The following is a 22589-nucleotide window of genomic DNA, read 5'->3' as shown; positions in this document are numbered from 1 at the left end:
GAGAGGGAAGCAGTATTAGACAAGGGAGAGGACAGCCATGGATATCTAGTCTCAGCCTGATGGCACAGGATGCCCTGGGACACACATGGCCCACACAGTCTTCCTCCTTGAGGCCAGGGCCCAGGCTGTTGTCACTGTAGACTCAGCTCTGGCAGCGTATCCTCCCAAGTATTTCTGGGAAAAGCAGCTCCCGTCAGCTGTGGGCAATTCTCGGAAGAACAAAGCAACTGCAGGCTGCTAGCAGCCAAAAAATCAACTGGGTGATAGAGTGCCAGCTCAGTAGAGGGGACCAGGTGGGTCAGCAGTAGCATCCACTACATTAATTAGTATTTCAATTACAGCCCTCCAGGTCTTCCTTTAAGACACACACATTCCCCAGGGCTCATTCTTTGGGACTCATATCATTCAGCCCTACTACCCTCTGATCCTCTGAAAATGCCTGTGCCCTGAGGGAATGAGTCATGAAATACTGCAAAAATGTCTCCTGAAACTTTGCCATGCTTGGAACCTGAGGAACCCTACGTGGATTTTCATCCCGACTTAGCCACTCCTTCTGCTTGTCTCTTAAAAGCATCTACTGACCAGCAAAAGTGCAACGGGATGCCAGCTACACCAGTACCTTCCAGCCTGGTGGGGTTGCATTAGCTGTTCACACATTACTCTCCACTCACTGATCATTTTGGTACCTGAAGCTTGGTTTTGTTTACCAGCCACTTCTGCAATTACCTAGGAGGCTTTCCAAGTCTAAGTAGGTGACCCCTAAACCATCCTGGATCCCACCTTCTACTCAGATAGCTTTTCTTCTACTCCCCTTAGCCACACACTCACTCACATATCATACTTGTTTTGCATTCCAGATGATCTGTCGAACATGGCCTCGTCTCTTAGCTTGCTTTTTGAGTTTTCCTACTATTGCTGTTCTTTGATTGCCTGGATTCCTCTGGCCCAGTGATCTCCCCTATTTCCCTCAGTTCTTTAGCCCTCTTTTTTATAACTCCCCTCCTTACCCACATGGGTTTCATGGTGTGGAATTTCAGCAGTACTTTTCCCAATAACCTGATTGTAACCTCAGTTTCTCCCTAGGAGATTGAAAGACTTCAATCGTGTTGCTTTAACTGTATTAACCTTAGTTCCTTTATCTCTAAAATAATGATAATACACAACCTATGAGGAATTTTTAATAAAATTTGCATAAAAATAAAATTAAACAGCTTCTATTGTAATACTTGGCACATAGTAGGAGATTAATCAATGTTTATTCTGACTAAAGGCTGATCTGTGTATGTACTTAATATCAACCAAGAGGATGGCGGATTGTCATTCCACTCTGAAAACTGAGGAACCTCGATGCGACTCTTCCTTGAATGGAAACTCTGGATGGGATGGACGAAGGGAATATCATTAGGGAAGACTCTGGGACCTTGTGTGGCTTTGGAAATGGTTATGCCTTAGGGATCTTTGAGGCCATCAACCCATGACAACACTGAGCAGTAGCTTATGTTCAGAAGTGTGACAATGAGTCATAAAAGAAAATCGAAATTACAGTCTGTAAACTCTGCTGAAATAAGAGTATAATTTCTAAAATAGATTACATCAGAAATTACTAAAATTAAATATAAAACTATTTGGTGTTTAAAGGACTTGATATTAGTTATCTGGAAAATTAATTTCTGGAGCACACATCATCTTAGCTGAGGTGTTGTTGCAAGGGGAGAGAAGGCAACTGAATTGGTGGCTTTGGTGAAACCTCGTTGATTTTAACTCAGAATATAAAATGCACTGAATAATAAATTGCATTTTTAGTTTGTTTAAAGGAAATGTATAAAGATAAGATTATCCATGGACTCTTGTGCCCAAGGTAGAATTCATCAAGCTTGGTATTTTAACAGGCCAGCTTGTGTTGGCCTTTTGGGAGAATAAAATGAATATTAATATAATTGCTTCTGAATAACAGAATGAGATTCTCCCAGGTTTCTTTTTTTTTCTTCCTTTCCCCTCTTCTTTTCAAAAGCATGTGGATGTTGGAGAAAAAGAATGATAATAAAACCATTTTTCAGCGACAGATTAACATTGAATTAGGAAGTGGTGTGCGTGAGAGGAAAAGGAAGCTCTTTCTAAGCCCCTACTATGAGCTGTAGACTGTAGAAAGTACTTCCCCAGGTGAAACTTTTATGTCATCTTCATGCAGGGCCATCATTAGCCCTAAAAAAATAAAAGCCAAGAGGGCAAAATACTGTTCACAGTCACACAGTCGCCAGAAGCTGATCCCCAAATTTGTTTGATCTCAAAACTTATTCCTTCCCGGCTGCACTGTAGATATCCCCTGTGAAGGGTATTCAAAATTCAGCTATAAATCATGAAAGTAAAACAAACCATTTCCCTCTCAGCCAATAAAGAAACCCAAATAAAACCTCAAAATACCCTATTTACTCAAGATTGCTTGCCTTTAGCCACCCAGCTGTGTGAACTTGAGAAAGGACTAGAGCTCCTGTTTAACTTGGAGGAGGGGATTTATTTGAGGATCCCTCATATCAGGTCTGCGTGAAGGGTTGCAGGCACATTTACTTGAAAAAAACTCATAGAATTAGAATCCTGCTTAGGCTAAAAAAAGAAAAAGACATCCAGAGAAATCTATGTCCTCCCTGCTTGCTCAGATGAGCAGTCAAAATATTAGGTGTTCATCCTTTCACTTTATACTTTATTGACTTTCTTGAAACAAACTGGAAAAAAGGAGCATTTACTAAAATTGCAGATCTGCTCTTTCTTATTTGTATGGCTTCATTCAGTGTCCCCCTAGATATTTTTATTCAAAATTCAGTGATTAATGTATGTGTCAAAACTCCTGGGATGCAAATGTAACGTATAGTGTATACCTAGACTGAAAATCAATATACTGCTTTAAGAGGCATCTCATTCTAAGTTAAAACTGAGACTGGATTGACACCCAGTGGAATGCAATTGAGGCTTGCATAGGGTCACTGCAGGAATGAGCAGTGTGCCCTGAGCTGGAAGTTGTCCTTGCAAGTATTTTTGGGGTCCTGATTATGGCTTCCAGGGGTACAGAGGGTGAGGTACCCCCAAAGAGGGAGCTGGTACATCTATTTATAATTTTAGCACAATATGATATTATTGCCTCTCCTGTCTCTCTCCCTCTCTCTCTGTTACACAGGCACCTGTAAACACATGTACAAACCCCACCTTCATCTGGGCAGCCTCCTCATGGATTCAGATTCACCTCAGTTGCCATCTTTTCTGAAAAGGCATTTCCCACCCCTCTGATGGTTGAATTCATTGTCTTTCTGCTCCCACAGCAGCTTGGCTAAGACCCCAGCTTGGAGGCCTGACAGCCTGTGGGTTGTGTGGTAACACGTCGCTCAAAGCCTCGCTCCTCTCCTGGTTAGCTGTGTTACCCAGGACAGGTTGCTCAGCCTCTCTGTACTTCCATTTCTTCATGTGTAAAGTTGGGATAAAAAATAAAATGGTGCCTCCTTCAAATTTTTGTTAGGATTAAAGAACAAACACAAGAAGAAATGTGGTTAGAAATGTGACCCATAGCAAGACTCAAGAAATGTTAACTTTTGCACTTTAAGCATTGATTTAAGTCCATCTCTGTTTCTTAGAGACAGTGAGATTTTTTTTTTTCAAATTTTAAATTGATTGTTCCTGAAATATAGTCTCTTCCATTTATTAAAGCAAAATTCATTGAGGCACCTAAGTCTAGGTACTATATTGGCACAGGTTTTGTAGAAAAATGTGGCTTATGGAGTCATTAAATGAATTCTTGGGTAGATGGATGGATGGGTGCATGGGTGGGTGGATGGAAGCTAAAATAGTTTAACAACATTTTTTTCTAAAAATGTGGGTATCTCAGAGTACTACTCCATGGTGAAAATGTAAAATGAAGAGACCCAATGTGAGTGGATAGGAACACTGGCTCTGAAGCCAGAAAACTGGGTTTAATCCTAACTTTGCTACTGGCATTGGTCAAGTTTGTTAACTAATCTGAGCATAAATCCTTTCATCAAACAATGCAAGAACAATATGTCTACCTAATGGAGTATTTTGAGGATTAAATGAGTTAACATATGAAAAACATTTAAACAGTGACTGGCATACTATATATAAACACTAGGAAGTGTAAGCTACTGTTACTAGGTAGGACCTGGGATTGGCTACAAAACTTGCAGGGCCAGCTGCAAAATGAAGAGGTGGAGCCCCTTGTTAAAAATTATTATTAATATCAAGATGGTAACAACAGAGCAATTAACCGAAGGGAGGGCTCTTCTAAGCATGGTATGGGATCCTCTGTGACTACATAGGGCATGCACTCATAAAGTCAACCCTGGTAGGATGCTCATTTCCCTAAATTACAGAGTCTGACAAAGATTACAGGCATCTTCTGAGCAGGCTCTTGATGGCCCTCGTGGCCACGTACTTCAACACGCTCTTCCCTATTTCCCTCTTCCCTACACTTCCTCACCCCATGCAGATACCCTATGGACCTTGTTGTTTCCCACATCTTTGGAAACCAGCAAGGTGTCACTCCTGCACGGCCTACACTCATGCCGCCTCTGCTGAAGTGGCACTTCCTTTCCATCCTCCCTCTATAGTCTGGGAATCTCTTTTGCATCTTTCAGCTGAAGCTTGGGCATGATGTGGTATGGACTCCTCTGCCCTATGTGCTGACAATGTAGCCCATACACTAATGTCCATCTCTGAACTGAACAATTCCACACCCTCCTTCTCCAGATGGTGAACTCCTCCAGGGGAGGCCATTGACTTATTTATCTTGTACTCCCATCTAATGCCTGACTATTCCAATCATTTCTTCTAAAGTTAGGTCTGGCCTTGGCACTGTTAGATGCACAAACTCATGGTAAAATGTTGGTTTCTGGAGCTGGTCTTATAGGACAATTCCCTGAAGAGGCTGGGAGAGACCAGTTGCTGGGAGAGACCAGTTGAACAGACACTGGATTTGATGGGACAGAGGCAGGAGCAAGTGGAAAGTGAAAATGATAGAGTGGAGGAGCTGTCATTCAAGCGAGAATAAAGCAATAAAGCATGACCAAAGGCTGGCTGTGTTACAGCCGCATAACTGGGGCAGGCAGTGTGGAAGCCAGCCTTGAAGGGCTAGACTCCCAGGACTATGCTAAAACATACCCAGTTCAATCACTGTCCACCTAAGGGAATGGTGCAGCCATCGGTGCTTTCACAAAAGCCTGCTCCACTGGCGTTAGCTCAGACCCACTCTCTGCCCTGCTATGCTCAGCTGTAATATGCAAGCTAATTGACCTGAAGGATGCAAACAGAGCATTTGAATTCAAAAAATCCTGTTCCAGTTTCAACTGTGCCACTCACTAGCTCTGATTTGCAAAACCTTTAACTTTTCTGAATCTGTTTTCTTGTCTGTAAAATGGAGATAACAAGACTATTTTTGTCCTAGGTGGCCTGGATGATTGACTGATGTAACCACTGCATACACAGACTTAACAAAGTGCCTGATACCATGTGACATAATTGAGAAAGAATATTTATTTTATTAGTAAATGAAATTTAATCAAGTCTATAGCATGTGCCAAGTATCATCCTGTGTGCTGCGGATGCTGTTGAGAGCAAGGCAGGCATGGTCTCTATCTCCTCAAACTTAAATTCTTTTAACAGGGAGAGTAGGGAGAAGTCAGAGGTAACAGACAGTAGTTTCTTTTTCTTTTCCCTTCTAAACAATGTGTTCAAACACATGTTCATTCAACAGACAAGGGTTTTCTCCTGTAATCTTAACAACAGTTTTATCAGATGAAAGCATTCTTACTGGTCTCTTTTCACAAATGAAGATTCTGAAGCTCAGAGAGTTGAGTGCCCTGCCAAGAGTCACAAAGATGATCAGTCTCAGAACCCAAATTCCAACTTAGAGGCATCTGATTCCAAAGCTGTTTCAGAAGGCTAACTTGTTAAATAGAGACGGACTCACAGTCCTGCAGAGCAATCAGTGCAAACTAGGACAAGTTGACTTGCTTCTCAAAATGACGAGAGATGCAGAGATCATCCTAGTGTTGTTTCATGTTGGCTTTCTTCCATTAGGAAATATTTTCTCTTTCCTTTGAATTTGTTTCTTCCACTGAACCTCTCTCATTTTTTCCTATTTCTCTCATATATTCTTTATTTCTCTTTTAGTAGAGATACTTATTTAGATTAAAAAAATCCTATTTGAGTGTGGACAACTTGAATATTGAGCCTATTTCACAGTCTGTCTTTCTCCACAGGGCTTCCACACCATAGCTGTACAATAAATGTTTATATAATTCTGCCATTAGGATTTTATTATACAACCTGATGACAACAGCCTACAGAAACAGAGCGATCCCATCATGTCAAGGTAATGATGTTTTGGAACCAGATAGATCAAAATAACTAACTTTGAGGTTTCCCCTGAGCTACTAGCACAGGCTGAGAGCTAGTCTCCAAGTTAGGCTCTCCTGAGCTGAGCACTAGTTATAAATGGCTGCTCACTTCTCTCCAGCCCTCTCTTGTCCCAGGGAGTCCCCATGGAATTCACATGAGGAAATTAAATTGTTAAGAATGGTGGAGCCAGTGCTCAACTCCCAGAGGCTCATGGACATCCAGATCCAATGAATGACCGTGTTGTTTAGCTGTGTTTGTTACTGACCCAGTCCTGCCAGCACAGTTGGCACCACTGAGAACCTCCCTGCAAAGTGGCAGCCCCAGGGCCTCACTGTGCTCAGAAACAGACTGTCTCAATGAGGAATTGAGCCTCCCTGATGGGGTAAGCCTTGGGGGATAAACATCAGGAGGTAGTTTTGTGGGAAAATTAGGTGCACAGGGATATCATTTGGTTTTTGTGTTCTTTTGTATTGAGATGTTAGAGCTCTATGTAATTTTGAAGCAAGAACAAAAGACCTAAATTTTGTTTCATTTATTTATCCAAAAAATATTAATAAGCACCTACTATAGTCCAAGTCCAGTGCTGAGGATACAAAGATACAATCATCATCATCATCCCCAAAACTAATATTTGTTGAATTTATTTTAGCAGGCATTATGTTAAGCACTTTGCATGCATTATCTATTGAATCCCTAGGGTGCCCAACTCCAGGGTTGTATGATATTGTGATATAAGAAATATAAATTTTTATTTTAGTCCTCAGTTATGGACGCAGAGCTCCTAAAACGTTTATAATTTCCTAAGTGGTAAGAGCAATAAAGATGAAAGTAGCAACTTTTGTGATTCATAACAAGCCTCTATCAACATTGTCTGAATTGATATCAATGGCGTGACTTTTGGAAAGCCCCTAGACGAGGGGAGTGGGGGCTGGTTGCCAGGGGGATCAACCATGTGATTAGAGGGTTGGAACTGCCAGACCCCCGGCCTCCCAACCTCCAGGATGGGGTGAGGAGAGGGGCTGGAAACTTAATTTATTACCAATGTCAATGATTTATTCAGTCATATCTATGTAGTGAAACTGCCATAAAAACCCACATGGACAGGGTTCAGAGGGCTCACTGGTTGGTGAACACGTGGAAGTGCTGAGAGGGTGGCTGCCTGGAGAGGGCATGGAAGTTCCACACCGCTTTCCATACCTGGCCTGATGTATCTCTTCTTTTCAGTGCTTTTTGAGTTGCATCCTTTGTTATAAAGTGATACATGTAAGTAGATGTTTTCCTGAGTTTTGCCAGCTGTTCTAAGAAATCATTAAACTTGATGAGGAGGTTGTGGGAACCTGTGACATAGAGCTGGTCAGTCAGAGGCACAGATGACAACTGGACTTCCCATTGGCATCTGAAGTTAAGGGTCTGAGCCCTTAACCTGCAGGGTCTGCACTGACCCCAGGCGGTTAGTGTCAGAATTGCTCAGTGTGCAAAACCAACACATCTGCCGGCAGAGATGTTTTATCTGTGAGTGTATTGAAAAATGGTTTGTTTTTCCCCTCCTTATGGGAAATGTCTTTTCATGTCTTCCTCAACACTCACCCAAGGGCAAGGCCCTTATTATTTGTAGCATTATATCCCTAGGGTTGTCTTATGTGGCTAACCTAGTGCCATCCCAATTTTATCCGTAGAGTTAGAGATCAGGGTCACCACTTTGGTAGGTAGAGCCAGTGTATTTAGAAGCACCCTTCAACACTATGTTGAATGTCTGATAAGGCAGGATCACTGCTCTCTGTGGTTTCAAGTTCTGGTGGAGAAGGGAGATGATAAAACAAATAATTTGGAAGTTATTTATTAATTGCTGCGACAAAAGCAACCATAGGGTGCTCTCTGGAAGTTCAGGGGAATGAGGGACTATGGAATCAAGGAAGGCTTTAAAGAGGAGGTAATATGCACCCCCATGTTGATAGGCCAGTTGGATACTTTTGGGTGAAGCTCATGGGGAAAAAGGCATTCCAAGGACAGAGAAGAACCTTTGCAAAGACAAGGACCTATAGCAAAAGACAGGGTTTTCAGGGGCGCTTGTTAACACATTTAGAATGACTAGGGCTCAGAGAGCATGTGTGACTAGTGGCAGGAGGTGGGACTGATAAGGTACACAGACCCTGAGATGCAGGGAGTGTCAGGGGGATGGGTTGGGATTTCATCTTGTTTTGGGGGAAGAAATTATGTGTAGTTTTCTTCCAGTTAACATGGGGTTCCGCTGGAATAACAAAAACCTCACGACATGGCTTATCCAAATAGGGTTTTATTTCTCTCGTGCAACAACAGATCTGGCTCATGCTGCTACTTGTGGGAAGTCGTCAAGAACCCAGGCTTCCCAGGATCTCTTCTCTGACATCTTTACTGTATGTCTGTCTTTTTCTGGTTCATGACCATGAGATCTCTGCTCTATAATCAGACATGATGTCCATATTTCTGATATATAGGAAGCAGGAAGGGTGAAGGGCAAAAGCATATGGCAGCAAAGTTTATTTCTTTGAATCAGGACAAAGTATCTTTCTCCTAATTCCATTCACTAGACTTTCACTAACATCTTCTCAGACTGAACTGGCCCTCATGGCCACCACTGACCAAAAGGGCATCTGAGGAAGTGCCTGTCTGGGTATAGGTGTCAGTTAATATCACCATTCTGTTTAGTGAGAAAAGGAGGATAGATTTTGGCTAAGAAACTAGTAGTGCCTGCTAGTGTGAGTGACAGGATCAGCTTACATTTACAAAAAATGGGATTGTCAGCCATCTAAGGTTACCATGACCTTGTAGCCATGACGATCAAGCAGCTCATAATGAGGCAACAGATAAACAAACAGATGATGAAAACATAGGGTAAGAGGGATCTGTGGTGATTTGGGAGCCAAAGGAAGGAGCTCTTCACCCAGTGTAGGGTATGGTTTGTGAAGGTATCCCTAGAGAAGGTGACTCTGCGGCTGAGCTTGAAGGAAGAGAATTGGTAGGTGACAAAGAAGAGGTAAGGACATGCAAGAAAGCTCAGGGAAAAGAGATTACATGATCCTGGCTGGCAAATGTGAATAGTTTGTTCTATTGGAGAAGGGTAAAAGGGGAGTGGGTTCTTCTTAGTCTCAACTAGACACATAGGACAACCATTGGTGACACTTGACATCTGCCAACTCAGGAATCACGGGTGTTCCTCATTAGCAAGAGCCTTTGCAGCAGCTACATGGCAAATAGCTCAGATGCAAGGAAGGACGATGTATATTGGATGGTTCAGGTTCCACATGGCTTAAAAGTCTCATGCCTTTCAGGAACCATTTCTCTCTCACAAGAACTCCATAGGCATTGCTTCTTGGTTCTTGGCTTCTTCTCTCATGCTAACTATAGGAGTCTCCATAATCGGGAAAACCCAAAGTAAGGAATCTTCATCAGGTATCTATAGTTATCCCAGTCCAGCTCCAGTCCTCTTAACAACAGGGGTCATTTTACAAGAAGCAGTACTGTTTTGTTTAAGTGATATATCTGTTTCCAGGAAAACAGCTTAGAAAATTTATCCAGTGGTCAGATTCTTAATGCACAAGGGGAAAAAAATGCTAACTGTTTGCCCAGAGCCCTTTAATTTATAGGCTAGGCTATGAAAAGCATGAAAGGAGTTTCTGAAAGTGGGTTATACTGATTATATTTTTTATTTAAAAATTATTCCTGAGTTCTGCAGGAGATTGATTCAATAGGTTCATGATGGGTTCATATGGCTAGATGAAAGGCTATTTTGTGTTTATTTCCTTTTCTGTTTTTAATAGACTTAATTTTTTAGAGTAGTTTTCAGTTCACAGTAAAATTGAAAAAAAAAAAATAGAGAGATACCCCACATCCCCCATCCCCATACATGCACAGCCCCTCATCAGCATCCACCTCACCGTGGTCCATTTCTTATAATTAATGAACCTACACTGACAAATCATTATCACCCCAAATCCATGGTTTACATCAGGGTTCACTTTGGTGTTGCACATTCTGTTGGTTTTGATAAATGTTTAATGATATGTTTCCACAATTGTAGTATCATGCAGGATAGTTTCACTGCTCTAAAAATCTTGTCCTCTGCCTTTTCATTTTTCAATCCCCCCAGACCCTTGGCAACCACTGATCATTTTACTGTCTTCATGGTTTTGCTTTTTCCAAAATATTATATAGTTAGAATCATACAGTATGTATCCTTTTCCTGTTGGCTTATTTCACTTAGTAATATACATGTAAGTTTCTTCCATGTCTTTCCATGGCTCCATAGCTTATTTCTTTTCAGTGCTGAATAACATTTCATCATCTAGACGTACCATAGTTTATTTATCCACTCTCCCACTGAAGGACATATTGGTTGCTTCCAAGTTTTGACAGTTATGAATAAAGCTACTATAAACATTCATATGCAGATTTTTGTGTGGACATAAATTCTTAACTAATTGGGTAAATGCAAAGGGCATGATTGCTGGATTGTAAGGTAGGAGTATGTTTAGTTTTGTAAGAAACAACCAATTATGTACCACTTTGCATTTCCACCAGCAATAAAAACATGTCTGTTGTTCCACATCCTCACCAGCATTTTGTGTTGCCAGTGTTTTGTTTTCAAGGTAAGAAAATACCTATACCATCAATGAGGTAAGAATTAGTGAGGTCCTGAACTAAGGCAGAGGCAGCGGATATTGAGTAACTAAATTCTAGAAATATTGCTGATTTAGAATTGACAGATCGTGGTGATAGATTGACCTTGGGTGTTGAATCTTGGCTGACTCTGAGGTTTTGGGTTGGATGACAAGATGGTAGATGGTAGTGATGCTACTTGCAGACATGGGAGAATGGAGGACAAAAACTGAAGTTTTGAGAGCTGGCAATATAGTGCCTCATTAAGAGCTCTCTATAGTCTGTGGCTTTGGGCGACGTCTGGGTTGGAAGTAGAAATTCAGGGGTTATTGATGTGAAGATTGTAGCTGAATTCATGAGATCTGATGTGACTCCCCAGTTAGAGCATTTCCTGTAGAAAGATAAAAGAAAGGGCAGGAGACAGAATTGTGGGTGGTGTGAAAACCAACTTGCAAGGGGTCAGGGAGAAAGAAGAGCCTGCAGAAACCAACAGAGTCTTGCACAAAGTTTGGTGCCTCAGTTAATAGATGCTGACTTGAACTACCCAGCTATTTCTGTCTCCCTGTTATCCTTAGCAAATATAAGCTAAGGATATACTTTCAAACTGTATATTTTTCACTAACCTAGAAGCAAAAAACAGCAAATGTTACAAAACTTGGTAACAGCACAAGGTTTTGTCCCAAAGTGAGTGATACTGAGAATGCGTGTCACAGACAGGTCTGGAAAAGCATCCTGCAAGAGGCTGACAATGAACCGGGTGGTTAAGGATTAGTAGTATGTGAATTACTTTATTCATTTACTGCTGGCAGATACTTCCTGGTGCTTACTCTGGGATGGTTGCTGTTCAGCACACTGGGAATAGAGAGGGAAGAGTCCAGACCGAACCTTCATTCCCCCAGATTCTCAGCCCTAGTGGAAGGAGTCAAACAGTACATAAATATTTACAAAATATAACAGAAAGTAAAATGCATAATGCAGTAAAGTACAAAAAGGGAAGAGGAGGCAGAGAATTGCTGCTTTAGTTAGAGTCGTTGGTTGAGCAAAGACCCAAATAAAGTTAGGATTTGAGCTGTGTGACTGTGTGTAGGAAAGGCATTCAATTCAAAGGAAAGGAGACCAGGGGATTCTCAGGATGACAACTTCAGTTCTTCACAGTAAAATCATACCTATGTCCCCAACAAGCTTGCATCTTTTATACCTGGAATAACACAGAAATAAAACTGGCATGAGGGAGGAAGTTATGATTGATCTCTACTATGTGCTGGTGTCTATACTGAACTCTTGACCTTTTCTCACTTGTTCCTTACAAACATGTATCATAAGTCATGCTGTTACTCTCATTTTGCAGGAGAGAAACTGAGGCTCAGAGAGTACATAATTTGCCCTAGGTTCCACCGTTAATGGCCGGTAGAACTGGAATGTTCGTGGGGGTCTGTCTGGCCTCAACGTCCTTACTTTTTGTTCATCCATCTATGGCATCCTCCGCAAATGACTCAGGCGACACTCCCGACTGTGTATTCCACAGGACAAATTTAAACTCGCTGCACTGCAAGGAAGGAACTAGGGCTATAATTGTTTTCTGTTGACTAGCTGACTCTACAATGGTTTTGCAAACCTCAGATAGAATCACTGAATCTATTTAAAGTTCTGCCTGAGACACGTTGATATAGTCAAATGAAAGATGGAATGCTGATCTTTATGTGGTGTGCATAACAAACAAATGTATCCCAAGGCACTCACTTGTAGTGCCAAGGTCCCCAAGGATGGCTTCTGTTTATAGTTTTATGCACACTTATACAATGCTTGGACTGAATTAAAACAATAAAATTATGATTGAAAAGTCTCTCTCTCTCTCTCTCTCTCTGTCTCTCATATGAGTGGATAAAAAATTTAACATGACTATCAATAAGTCACGAACAATTCTGTTCTTATTTGTTTTCACTATTGTATCTTAAAGCTGCTGGTGACTGGGCTGATCTCCTGATTGTTTAGCGAATTACCAGTGCATTATTCTCATTGGCAATCAATAGCTGTCTTTAGCATCTAGAGAGCCTTTAGGAAATTGCTTTTCAGGATGAGGATATTAGGCTGAATCTGGTTGGAGCAATGGCTTTTACTGCTTGGGATATTGTTTCCATTACAAAAACTACCATCTTTTAGAAGTTAGGAAGGAAATGGCTGTATGAGTTTAGAATTCTCTGAGGTATATATTTCCGTGTTACAGGAAGATGGGATCTATGTGGGAAGGAGTAGGATGAGAGATTGGAGAAGCAGCAGGGACTTTATCCCCTTATACAGGAGGGTTGTGTAAAGCATTCTAAGGATGCTGGGCTTGATTCTGTAGGCACCACGGACTCTTGAAGGATTTTTAAGTAAGGGAATGCTATGAGAAGACTTTAGATTTTTGTGAATTATTCTGGGGCAACGAGGGTGTGGCTGTCTGTTGGGTCAGGCTAGACATTAGGTCAGCATGTTTTATTCTTAGTGCTCACTTTGAGGTTCTCCTACTAGATCCTGCTTTCTCTCATTATTAATGCAAGGCCTTAAGTCGTCACGAGAAAAGCAGATCACATGATCACAGTCTAATGTGGAACAAAAGGTGGAAATGGTTTGAGTTGAGAAGAAATAATTCATCTCAGTTTATTCCTATTTTTCCAGAATGTAATAATTCATATTAATGACTGTGCTTCTGACTAGAATTCCCAATATCCACGTGCCCTATCATGGATGTGCAGGACTTATATGTGACCTCCAGATAAAATGTGCTCCATTTGTGATAAAACATGCATTCTTGGTCTTGAGGGGAGACATCAGGCGGTGTCAATCAATGCATCTGCATTAACAGACCAATCAGCAGGGACAAATCATGATACCTGCATCTACTAGCGCTCAGTCTTGAGTCCTTCTAAACGTGGGACTCCCCTCGCTGAGGCTGTCAGGCTGCCAGTGGAAACAATATGCACGTTGTGGAATGGTGCCAATTGAAATCCATAGTCTCTAAAACTTAGCTCAGTTCTTAACATTGCTGGACAACCCTTTAACACCTCCTTCCTCTACTCTTTATCTTCCACTTTTTCTCCTTCTGCTCTTTCTCTACTGGAATTTGAATTGTTCAAAATCTTCCAAATTATACCCTCCTTCCGTTGTCTACCTCCCACCACGTGTGCTCAGACCTGACAGGAGACCCACTTCACTTCCTGCACTAGGGAAACAAAATGAAACCAGAACAGCGCAGGGACTGTCCCTACATAATCTCCCTGTACTCCTGCATACCACTTCATTTGTATGTGGCTCTTCCTGGAAAGAATGGACCTCTTTCTAAGGCCAGATCCTCCCTACTCCCTCCTGTTTTGGATCTCAGCCTCCTTCTCTTCTTCAAGGAACTTGTTCCCTGTGATATTCCTTCTTACTTCAGAATGGTCAACCTCTTCCTCTATTGTAGCCCCAGTTCATTAGCTCATTAACGTATACATATTGTAGAAATTTCTCTCTCTTATCAAACCAAATGGCCATCCCTACATTCCCCCTCAACACACACTTTGTCCCCTCCTGTCTCTGTCCTCTCTCTCGGTCCTGCACACCCAGTCTTGACAAGGTTGTCTCAACTTATTGTCCTCATTTTCTCATTTATTCTTTTCCCACTGAACATGCCCTTTTGCAAATCACCAGTCTTCTAATTGCCAGTTTCACTGGAAACATTTCACTCTTTAGATCTTTGGAAGGATGCCCCTTTGCATGGTGACCAAGTTGACCATGTCTTCCTTCTGTGAATCACTTCTCTTCACTATTTTTTTCCTTGATTTCATTCTTTCCTCAATTTCCTCCTATCTGTCATATAATACTTGTTTTCATTGTGGTGTACGTTATCTCTAATTCTTTGCTTACTCCTTAAATGCTAAGTTCCTCTCTGGTATATACTTTGATCCTTTGATGTTTTTATGGTAAATGCAAATCCCAGGTGTTCTTATCTACTTCAAAGGTTTAAATTACCATAGGTTTCTCACTTTTAAATTGTGCTTGCATTTCTATAATTCCATGCATCCTGCTGGATTTCTTTAGGAGTGCATTTCAAAGCACCTTAAACTCAACAAGTTCCAAACTTACTTCTACAATCTGTCCTTCTTTGAGGTTCCTGTCTCAGTGGGTAAATGGTACTTTTGTCCATCTGTTTCCCTAAGCCAGAAGCAAAAGTCATCGTTTCCATATATGCCTGTGTCACCTTACTATCACCTGTCCATCTCTGTCCTTCTAATCTTCCTCCATCTTCATCCTTCCCTCGTGAGGCCACCATCATCTCTCAGCTCTATTGCAGTCATATTCTCTTAATGATTTCCTCATGTATGCCAGCCACACTCTGCCCCAAATCTGTGGTGCATTTGATATTCTCAGAATGGAGATGAGATCCTGCTCCTCTCACCTTTCCCTAGGAACCCCACAAGGCTTTGCAGTTTCATAAAGACTAAGAAGCATACATTTCAGCATTGTCTGTGTGCATGATAATGTGTTGCCAGCCACACTCTGCCCCAAATCTCTGGTGCATTTGATATTCTCAGAATGGAGACGATATCCTGCCCCTCTCACCTTTCTCTAGGAATCCCACAAGGCTTTGCAATTTCATGATGACTAAGAGCATACATTTCAGCATTGTCTGTGTGTATGATAATGTATTTACCTCTCAGCCCCACACAGTGCTTTCCCAAAACAGTGGCTTCCAGAGTGAGAGGCATGTATTTCAGGGAATGTTTAAGAGAGTTCATTGGAGCACAGAGAGAAAATGCTAGAACTTTCCTTTATATTGGTTTTGTATAAAATAAGTGAGAAATTGGGCTCTTTAATATTTATATTCTGCATGATTTCAGTACCCTTGCCTGTCTACTTGTCAGACGTCACATGTAGTGTGACCAGTGTCTTGAGGGAAGGGGGACTCCTAACAAAGCAAGTTGGAGTGATGTCCTCACTTGTCCTTTCAAATCCAGCTTTATTGTGACAATGCATTGTCTCTAGTACCCAGTTGTGTAGATTTGTGGATTATAATATTTAGTTTTAATTAAACAGCCTTCACAAAATGAACAAGTGACTCTGAAAGATTCCCGCAAGGAAACTGCAGATTGAAGACAATACTGATAATTACACAACGAATAGAAATCAAGTAAAAGCTTTTTTCCAGACACATCACAAGTTAAAAAACAAATTCAATCTAATTATATTTGATAATACGTTATAAAAATATCATCCGCAAGACCATCTGAACCAGGGCTTTACACTGATTCATAGCCACAGTGAGCTCCTGCCTTTAAATATACTGAGACTTAAGATATTATTTAATGTATAAATATAAAATGTACAGAGAATATAATATCTATGTCTGTGTATATGGGTGTATATGGTTTTTATACCCACCTGGTCTCATTGCCTTTCCTGGTGCATTTGTTCCTGCTCTTGTTCCTGGGCTTGTGATGTGTGTTCTAAAATGTTTAGGAGACATTTCTCTAAAGTTTTGTGTTTTCTCCTGTCTTAGGGCTCCTGCCTGAGAGTCAATGCTTCTTTCCACTCATGTCTTTTATATTTCAGTTCAGATATTATACCTTTCAAAGCAGTTTTCCTTAAGTCTTGCATTTATTTCTATAATTATTTTATTACCTCATTCACTAGCCTGCATACTCCATGTCGAGGAGAATGTGTCTGCTTTTGCTAATCTCTGGAATCCAGCCCCTAGCCCACTGGCCACCACATCCAAGGTGTTGAGTTAATAACGAATGAATGAATGGATCAGTGCATACATGTCAGCCGATGTGCTAGTTGCCTTGCATTTATTATTATATTTTCCCAATTAATGCTGCTAGCTTGAGAATGTACTGAGAGCTCTGTGTTGGGGACTGTAAATGTAAGCCTGTTAAAAAGCCAAAAATAAAATCCCCAGCCCTTCTTCTCCCCAAAATATTAATCCTTAGTTAGGTAGCATTAGCATGACAATTCAGAGAAGTTGTATCTTCTTTCTAATCTTGTATTTGTCCTGCTATGCCACCTGCCTCAAGACATATACAGTTACATAATTAATTGAGGAATCTCTAATATTTCTTGGCAGCAATCTCTGTAACCATCTCTTGGTATCAGTATAAGCCCATTGTCCAGTTGTAATAGGTGAGCTTAATGCTTTCTGTTTCCCTGATTTTTTTCTTCCTACTTTGCTTCCCTAGTTCCTAAGATGTCACACACACACCCTGCTCCTTTCTCAGGGTCCTCAATCAGCATTGGCTTTATATTAAGTTAGTTGTCACCTAAGGCACCTAGGTCTGATCAGAGATGTGCCTAGTCACTAGTTGCCTTGTAAAAAATTGTCTTCTGTTTCCTAGGTCTAATCAATCATGCTAGTTCCTTTTTAACCCTTCATCATCGAGTTCCTTAATCCCAGGAACTTGATTACCTTTCATGTTTTCTTCTTCTTTTCCAGTAACTTTCTTTCTCTCTCTCTTTCTTTCTTTCCTTTCTTTCTGAAACTTTAAAAACTGAAAATTTCAAAATTTTAAGCATTTTTTCCATTACTTTCAAAGGGAAAAACCACAATCCATCCTTCCTTCCTTCTTTCCCTCCTTCCTTCCTTCCTTTTTCTTTCTTTCTTTTTCTCTCTCTTTCTGTCTCTCTTTCTCTTTCTTGACAGAATCTTGTTCTGTCGCCCAGGCTGGAGCGCACTGGCTGTATCTTGGCTCACTGCAACCTCCGCCTCCTGGTTCAAGCAATTCTCCTGCCTCAGCCTTCCGAGTAGCTGGAATTACAGGCATGCGCCACCATGCCTGGCTAATTTTTATATTTCTAGTAGAGGCGGGGTTTCACTTTGTTGGCCAGGCTGGTCTCGAACTCTTGACCTCAGGTGATCTGCCCGCCTTGGCCTCCCAATGTGCTGGGATTACAGGCATAAGCCACCGTATCCGGCCTCCAATTTTCAATTAATATATTTATTAGGTTGGTGCAAAAGTAATTGTGGTTTTTCCCTTTGAAAGTAATGGAAAAAATACTAAAATTTTTAAATTTTCAGTTGTGATGTTTAAGAGGAGGCTCTCTGGTTAGAGCTGGCTGAATCAAAAGCAAGTTGTGACAGATACAGGAGAAATGAGGTGCCGGGTATTTAATGGGGAAATGTAAATATTGCATGTAAATTGCAACACCCTATTCAAAAAGAAAAAGGAAGAGTGATGGGTGGCAAATAAAGAAAGTTTATCAAGTGATAAACTCATAATGAAATTGATTGTCTTGGGATTGGGAGACACAAGTTGAAAGTTTCGTATTAGTGAAATATGCAGGCTTTCTTCTGTCCATAGATAGAGAGTCATGAAGAGCTAACAGCAGACTCAGAAAACGCAATAAAATTATTCCTCTCATTTGATCTCCTGACACCCATGTAAATAAAACAGGGTTAGAGGAATGGAAATGTTCCATTACTAGGTAAGGATAGCAAAAAGGGCTTTCAAATACAAATTGCCTTGGAGTTTTGACACATGTCAGGCTCTGTAAATTCCATAGAGATGTTGTTTCACAAAAATTTATTATGAAAGTTTCAGTCATCCAGAAATGTTGAAGAAAGGCATGATGAATACCCATAGTTCCTAGTCCCAGGTTTAACAATTGTTAACATTTTGTCATATTTTCTTTATCAGCGCATGAATGCCTATTTTGCATAAAATATGCATATGCATATTTTTCTAGATCATTTGAAAATAAGTTGCAGACTTTAAGACAGTATACTCTAAATACTTCGCCAGGCTTCTCCTAGGAATAAGGCATTTTTCAGTGGAACTCCAATGACATTATACTGAAGTAAATAAATGATATTTCATAATACTATTTAATGTATACTCTACATTCATAATTTCCCAATTTTTCAAGAAATTTGCTTATAGATATTTTTGAAGCAGAATCCAATCTAAGTACATGAATTTCTTTTGATGTTATATCTTTATTCTCTTTAAATCTACAACAGTCCTCCAAATTTCCCTTCTCAACACTGCACCCATAACATTGACTATTTGAGAGTGTGAGCCAGTTTGCTTATACAAATTTCCACATGTTGGAGTTGTCTGATTGTTTTCTCAAAGTGTCACTTACCATGGTTCTCTGTACCCTGTATTTCAGAAGCACTAGAAGTGAGGTCTAAGGCAATACTGTCCAATGGAACTTTCTGTGGTGATAAAACATATCCTATACACCTTGTCTGTTATGGTAACCAGTTGCCACATGTGGTTACCGAACACTTGAAATGTAGCTAGTAAAATAAAGGAAATGAATTTTTAACATTTCATTTAATTAATTTTAATGTAAGTAACCACATGTGGCTAGTGACTACCATATTTGACAACACAGGCCGAGGGCCTTCAATAAGTTAAATAGTCCAGCAACTATGCCTCCGAGATGTTTGAAATTTGGTTCCCAATTTTAAAGGTTCTTGTTCTGTTCATCCCCTGGTGAACCCTGTGGTTAGACTGAGCAGCAATTGGTATAAGATAGCATGCAGTGAATCACAGACTATGTTCTCCAATTTCTTCACATTTATAGCACAGGCCAGATGGGATCTTCCAATCGTATTTCTGGAAGACAATGATTACCTAGAACTTTTAGTGACTGATGACTGATTCGGAGTTTGTTTTTTTGAGTGAGGGGATGAATTATGGGAAAACAATCAGATAGGATGTTTTATCACCATCTTTAGTTCTGGGATCTGCTTGGGATCCCACCTTGTCACACCTCCTTAATCCATATTTCTATGTGTTCATAGTCAGCATTTCACTGATGACACAACTGCCTGATCCTGAATCATCAAAGTAAAGTTTGTATAAATTTGCTGCACTATACTTATTCAGGAAAGGAAATAAAAAACCTTTTAACCGCTGAGGTTGACGTAAAACTTTTAGCTCATCTCCTGAACTAGACGTGAAGTAAATTAAACAGAACATCCCAGCCCTCCATACAGTTAACAAAGAGCGTTAAAAATAGAGTGGGTTTTGATACATCACTCATTGCATTGGCATAGATTATTAATTTGTCCTTACTGCTCATCTTGTAAGACACAACGTCATTCTTATTTAAATTCGGTTGTTCAGTCATGAATTTCTCCAGCTAACATTAGTGAACACATTCTAGTGCCAGGCCCCCACTCTTCCACGAAAGCATCATCAGGGGACATGAGGGTGGCATCCTCCACTCTGAATCTCAGGTTCTGGATGCAGCTGCCCACCTGGTCACATTGCCTTTCCTGGTGCATTTGTTCCTGCTCTCGTCTCCTCACAGGCATCATCTCTTGGGTTTTCCAGTTTCATCTTCAGGTTTGCTTTGCTCTCAGCCTGCCACTGACCTACTTCTCTCTCCTGACCGAGATTCTGACCCACTCTCTTTAACTGGGTCACAGTGCAGCTCTCTTGCTTGCTTTGATTTGTCTTAGTTTCAGTGCCAGACAAGAGGAGTCAAGAGCAGGGTCCAGTCTGTCTTCTTGATTCAGAGGGCCTTTACCCTCCACCGCAGGCCCCTTCCAGGTCCTCTGCATATGAGCAAGACCTGGAGCTCTTGTTGGAAGAGGGAAGAACATACTGTCCAGGCTAAAGCCATAGATCAGATTTAAAAGATCAGGTGAGACCAGGCGCAGTGGCTCATGCCTGTAATCCCAGCACGTTGGGAGGCCGAGGCAGGCAGATCACCTGAGTTCAGGAGTTCGAGACCAGCCTGGCCAACACAGTGAAACCCTGTCTCTACTAAAAAAAAGTTATCTGGGTGTGAAGGCACATGCCTGTAATCCCAGCTACCTGGGAGGCTGAGGCAGTATATTCGCTTGAACCTGGGAGGCGGAGGTTGCAGTCAGCCAAGATTGTACCACTGCATACTCCAGCCTGGGCAACGGAGAGAGACTCCATCTAAAAAAAAAAAAAATCAGGTGAAACTTGCACCAAGATGTACAGCAACAAGTCAGCAGCCAGGTGAACATGAGATGAGGGCTGAGCAGGAGGCTGGGTACAAGTCACACTCAGCTGAGAGGGGAGAGGCTTTTTGCTGTTGTAGGGCTGGGCTCCTGGAGTTCTGCTGGCTGCATGCAGTTGCATTAAGCAAAGAGTGGGTTGGGCAAAGGCACAAGCCTCAAACACTTAGAGAGGCCAAAGAATGGGCATTGCATTTCTGGGTGGTGAGAAAGCATGCATGGGCACGAGAGAGGATTTTAGAGAGGCAGCTCCATCAGTGAAAAGGACAAAGCATTTGGATTTGATCAGCCCTGAGTTTCTCTTGTGGTACCACCCCTTACTTACCATATGATCTTAGGACAAAGTGACCTTGAAGCCTGAGATGCTCCATCTGTAAATTGGGGATATGATGGACTCCTTGCAGCACCTGTGAGATCTGAGTGTAGGGCCAGGTGTAGAGTGGGCACTTCATAAGCATCTACTAGGAAAGGACCATGATGGGCAATTGGCAGATGACCTTTGGGTCTAAACACCTGATACGTGCAACTTCAATGAATGTCACTCCCTTCCTTTCCCCCTACTTTGGAACTACCTAAATCAGGTCCCAGCATTGACTTGGATACCACAAGAGCCCGGCTTGGTTTGTGTATCCCTTTCTCTTCCCGCTTTTGGCTTGACAGTTTGTCTCCTGAAACAGCAGCCTCCAATTTTCTTAATTGCAAAATTGCCCTCAAGTCTGTGATTCCAGCTTGTGGCTGTTTCTTCACTAATTGTTCTTTAAATAATGAGTAACGCTGATAGTTCTTCCCAACTTCTGAATGTATTCTTCTGCATTCGCAAAAGTCTTAAAATATGGCCAGGTAAATTCAAAGTGCCAAGGTACAGAAAGACACTGTCTGTTGTGCAGAGGGCCACACTCCAGGGCCAGCGTAGGGGGCAGTGCAGCTGGGGCAGTTACTGCGGCAGTACAGAATGATTGGATGCCTTTCCTGTGAGGATATGTGCTGACTTGTTTTTCTCTTCTGATGTTCTGGGCAGTGGGCCCACTGTCATCCAGCCGCAAGGATCTCTGTTGGGATGATGGAAGAATATCCTGAAATCCTTCCATTCTGGTTTTTTCCATTTCGGAATTTCACTGTCACTTTGGCAAACCTCCTGTCTTCCTCCCTCCTTTCTTAGAATATACACTTTGTCCAGAATTCTATGGCTAATGTTTCATGTGTTCAGAAGACACCCAAGAGGACTCTGTCTATGGAGATCACTGAGGCCAGAGGGCTCAGAAATGCAAATTAAACCTCTGTTCTAAGGGGTGGGTATTGTTTTTCTCTCTTGGCATCCTGTGCCATGTGTTGGGGGGGAGGTTTTTGAGAGGTCTGGAGGTCTGAAGTTCTGGATCTGAAAGGAGGTTATTTGGTAAGCCCCACCCTAGGAACAAAGCATACAGACCAAAGAGATGTCCATTTGTGTCTCAGGAGGGAGTGAAGAATCTATCCTGAGCATCAGGTCCAAGCCGTGTATCCATCGGGCTGACATTTGCTCAGTGACGTCTCAGCCATCTCCCCATCCACCATGATAGGCTGCAACCTTCTTAAGGTCTAGGGTGGTATGCCCGTTACT

General features: G+C 41.5%; 1 protein-coding gene across 12 annotated transcripts in view; it reads left to right on the top strand.

Annotated features, from left to right (window-relative positions):
• Nucleotides 1-22589, top strand: part of FAM135B (family with sequence similarity 135 member B) — a 367708-nt gene that overhangs the window by 11002 nt on the left and 334117 nt on the right. For 6 of the 12 annotated variants that reach the window (XM_011517058.3, XM_017013471.2, XM_011517056.3 and 3 more), the window contains exon 1: nucleotides 9301-9412. The exons of 4 other annotated variants lie outside the window; for them this stretch is intronic. The gene's annotated coding sequence lies outside the window, so the exon portion shown is untranslated. Of the gene's footprint in view, nucleotides 1-9300; nucleotides 9413-22589 lie in introns of those variants that run through there. 2 more of the 12 variants (XM_011517063.3, XM_011517060.3) reach the window with 1 other exon arrangement.

The sequence above is a fragment of the Homo sapiens genome, chromosome 8 (assembly GCF_000001405.40).
Source record: "Homo sapiens chromosome 8, GRCh38.p14 Primary Assembly".
Classification (NCBI taxonomy): domain Eukaryota; kingdom Metazoa; phylum Chordata; class Mammalia; order Primates; family Hominidae; genus Homo; species Homo sapiens.
Note: the sequence above shows the minus strand (reverse complement) of the source record. Positions and strands in the feature narration are given on the sequence as shown.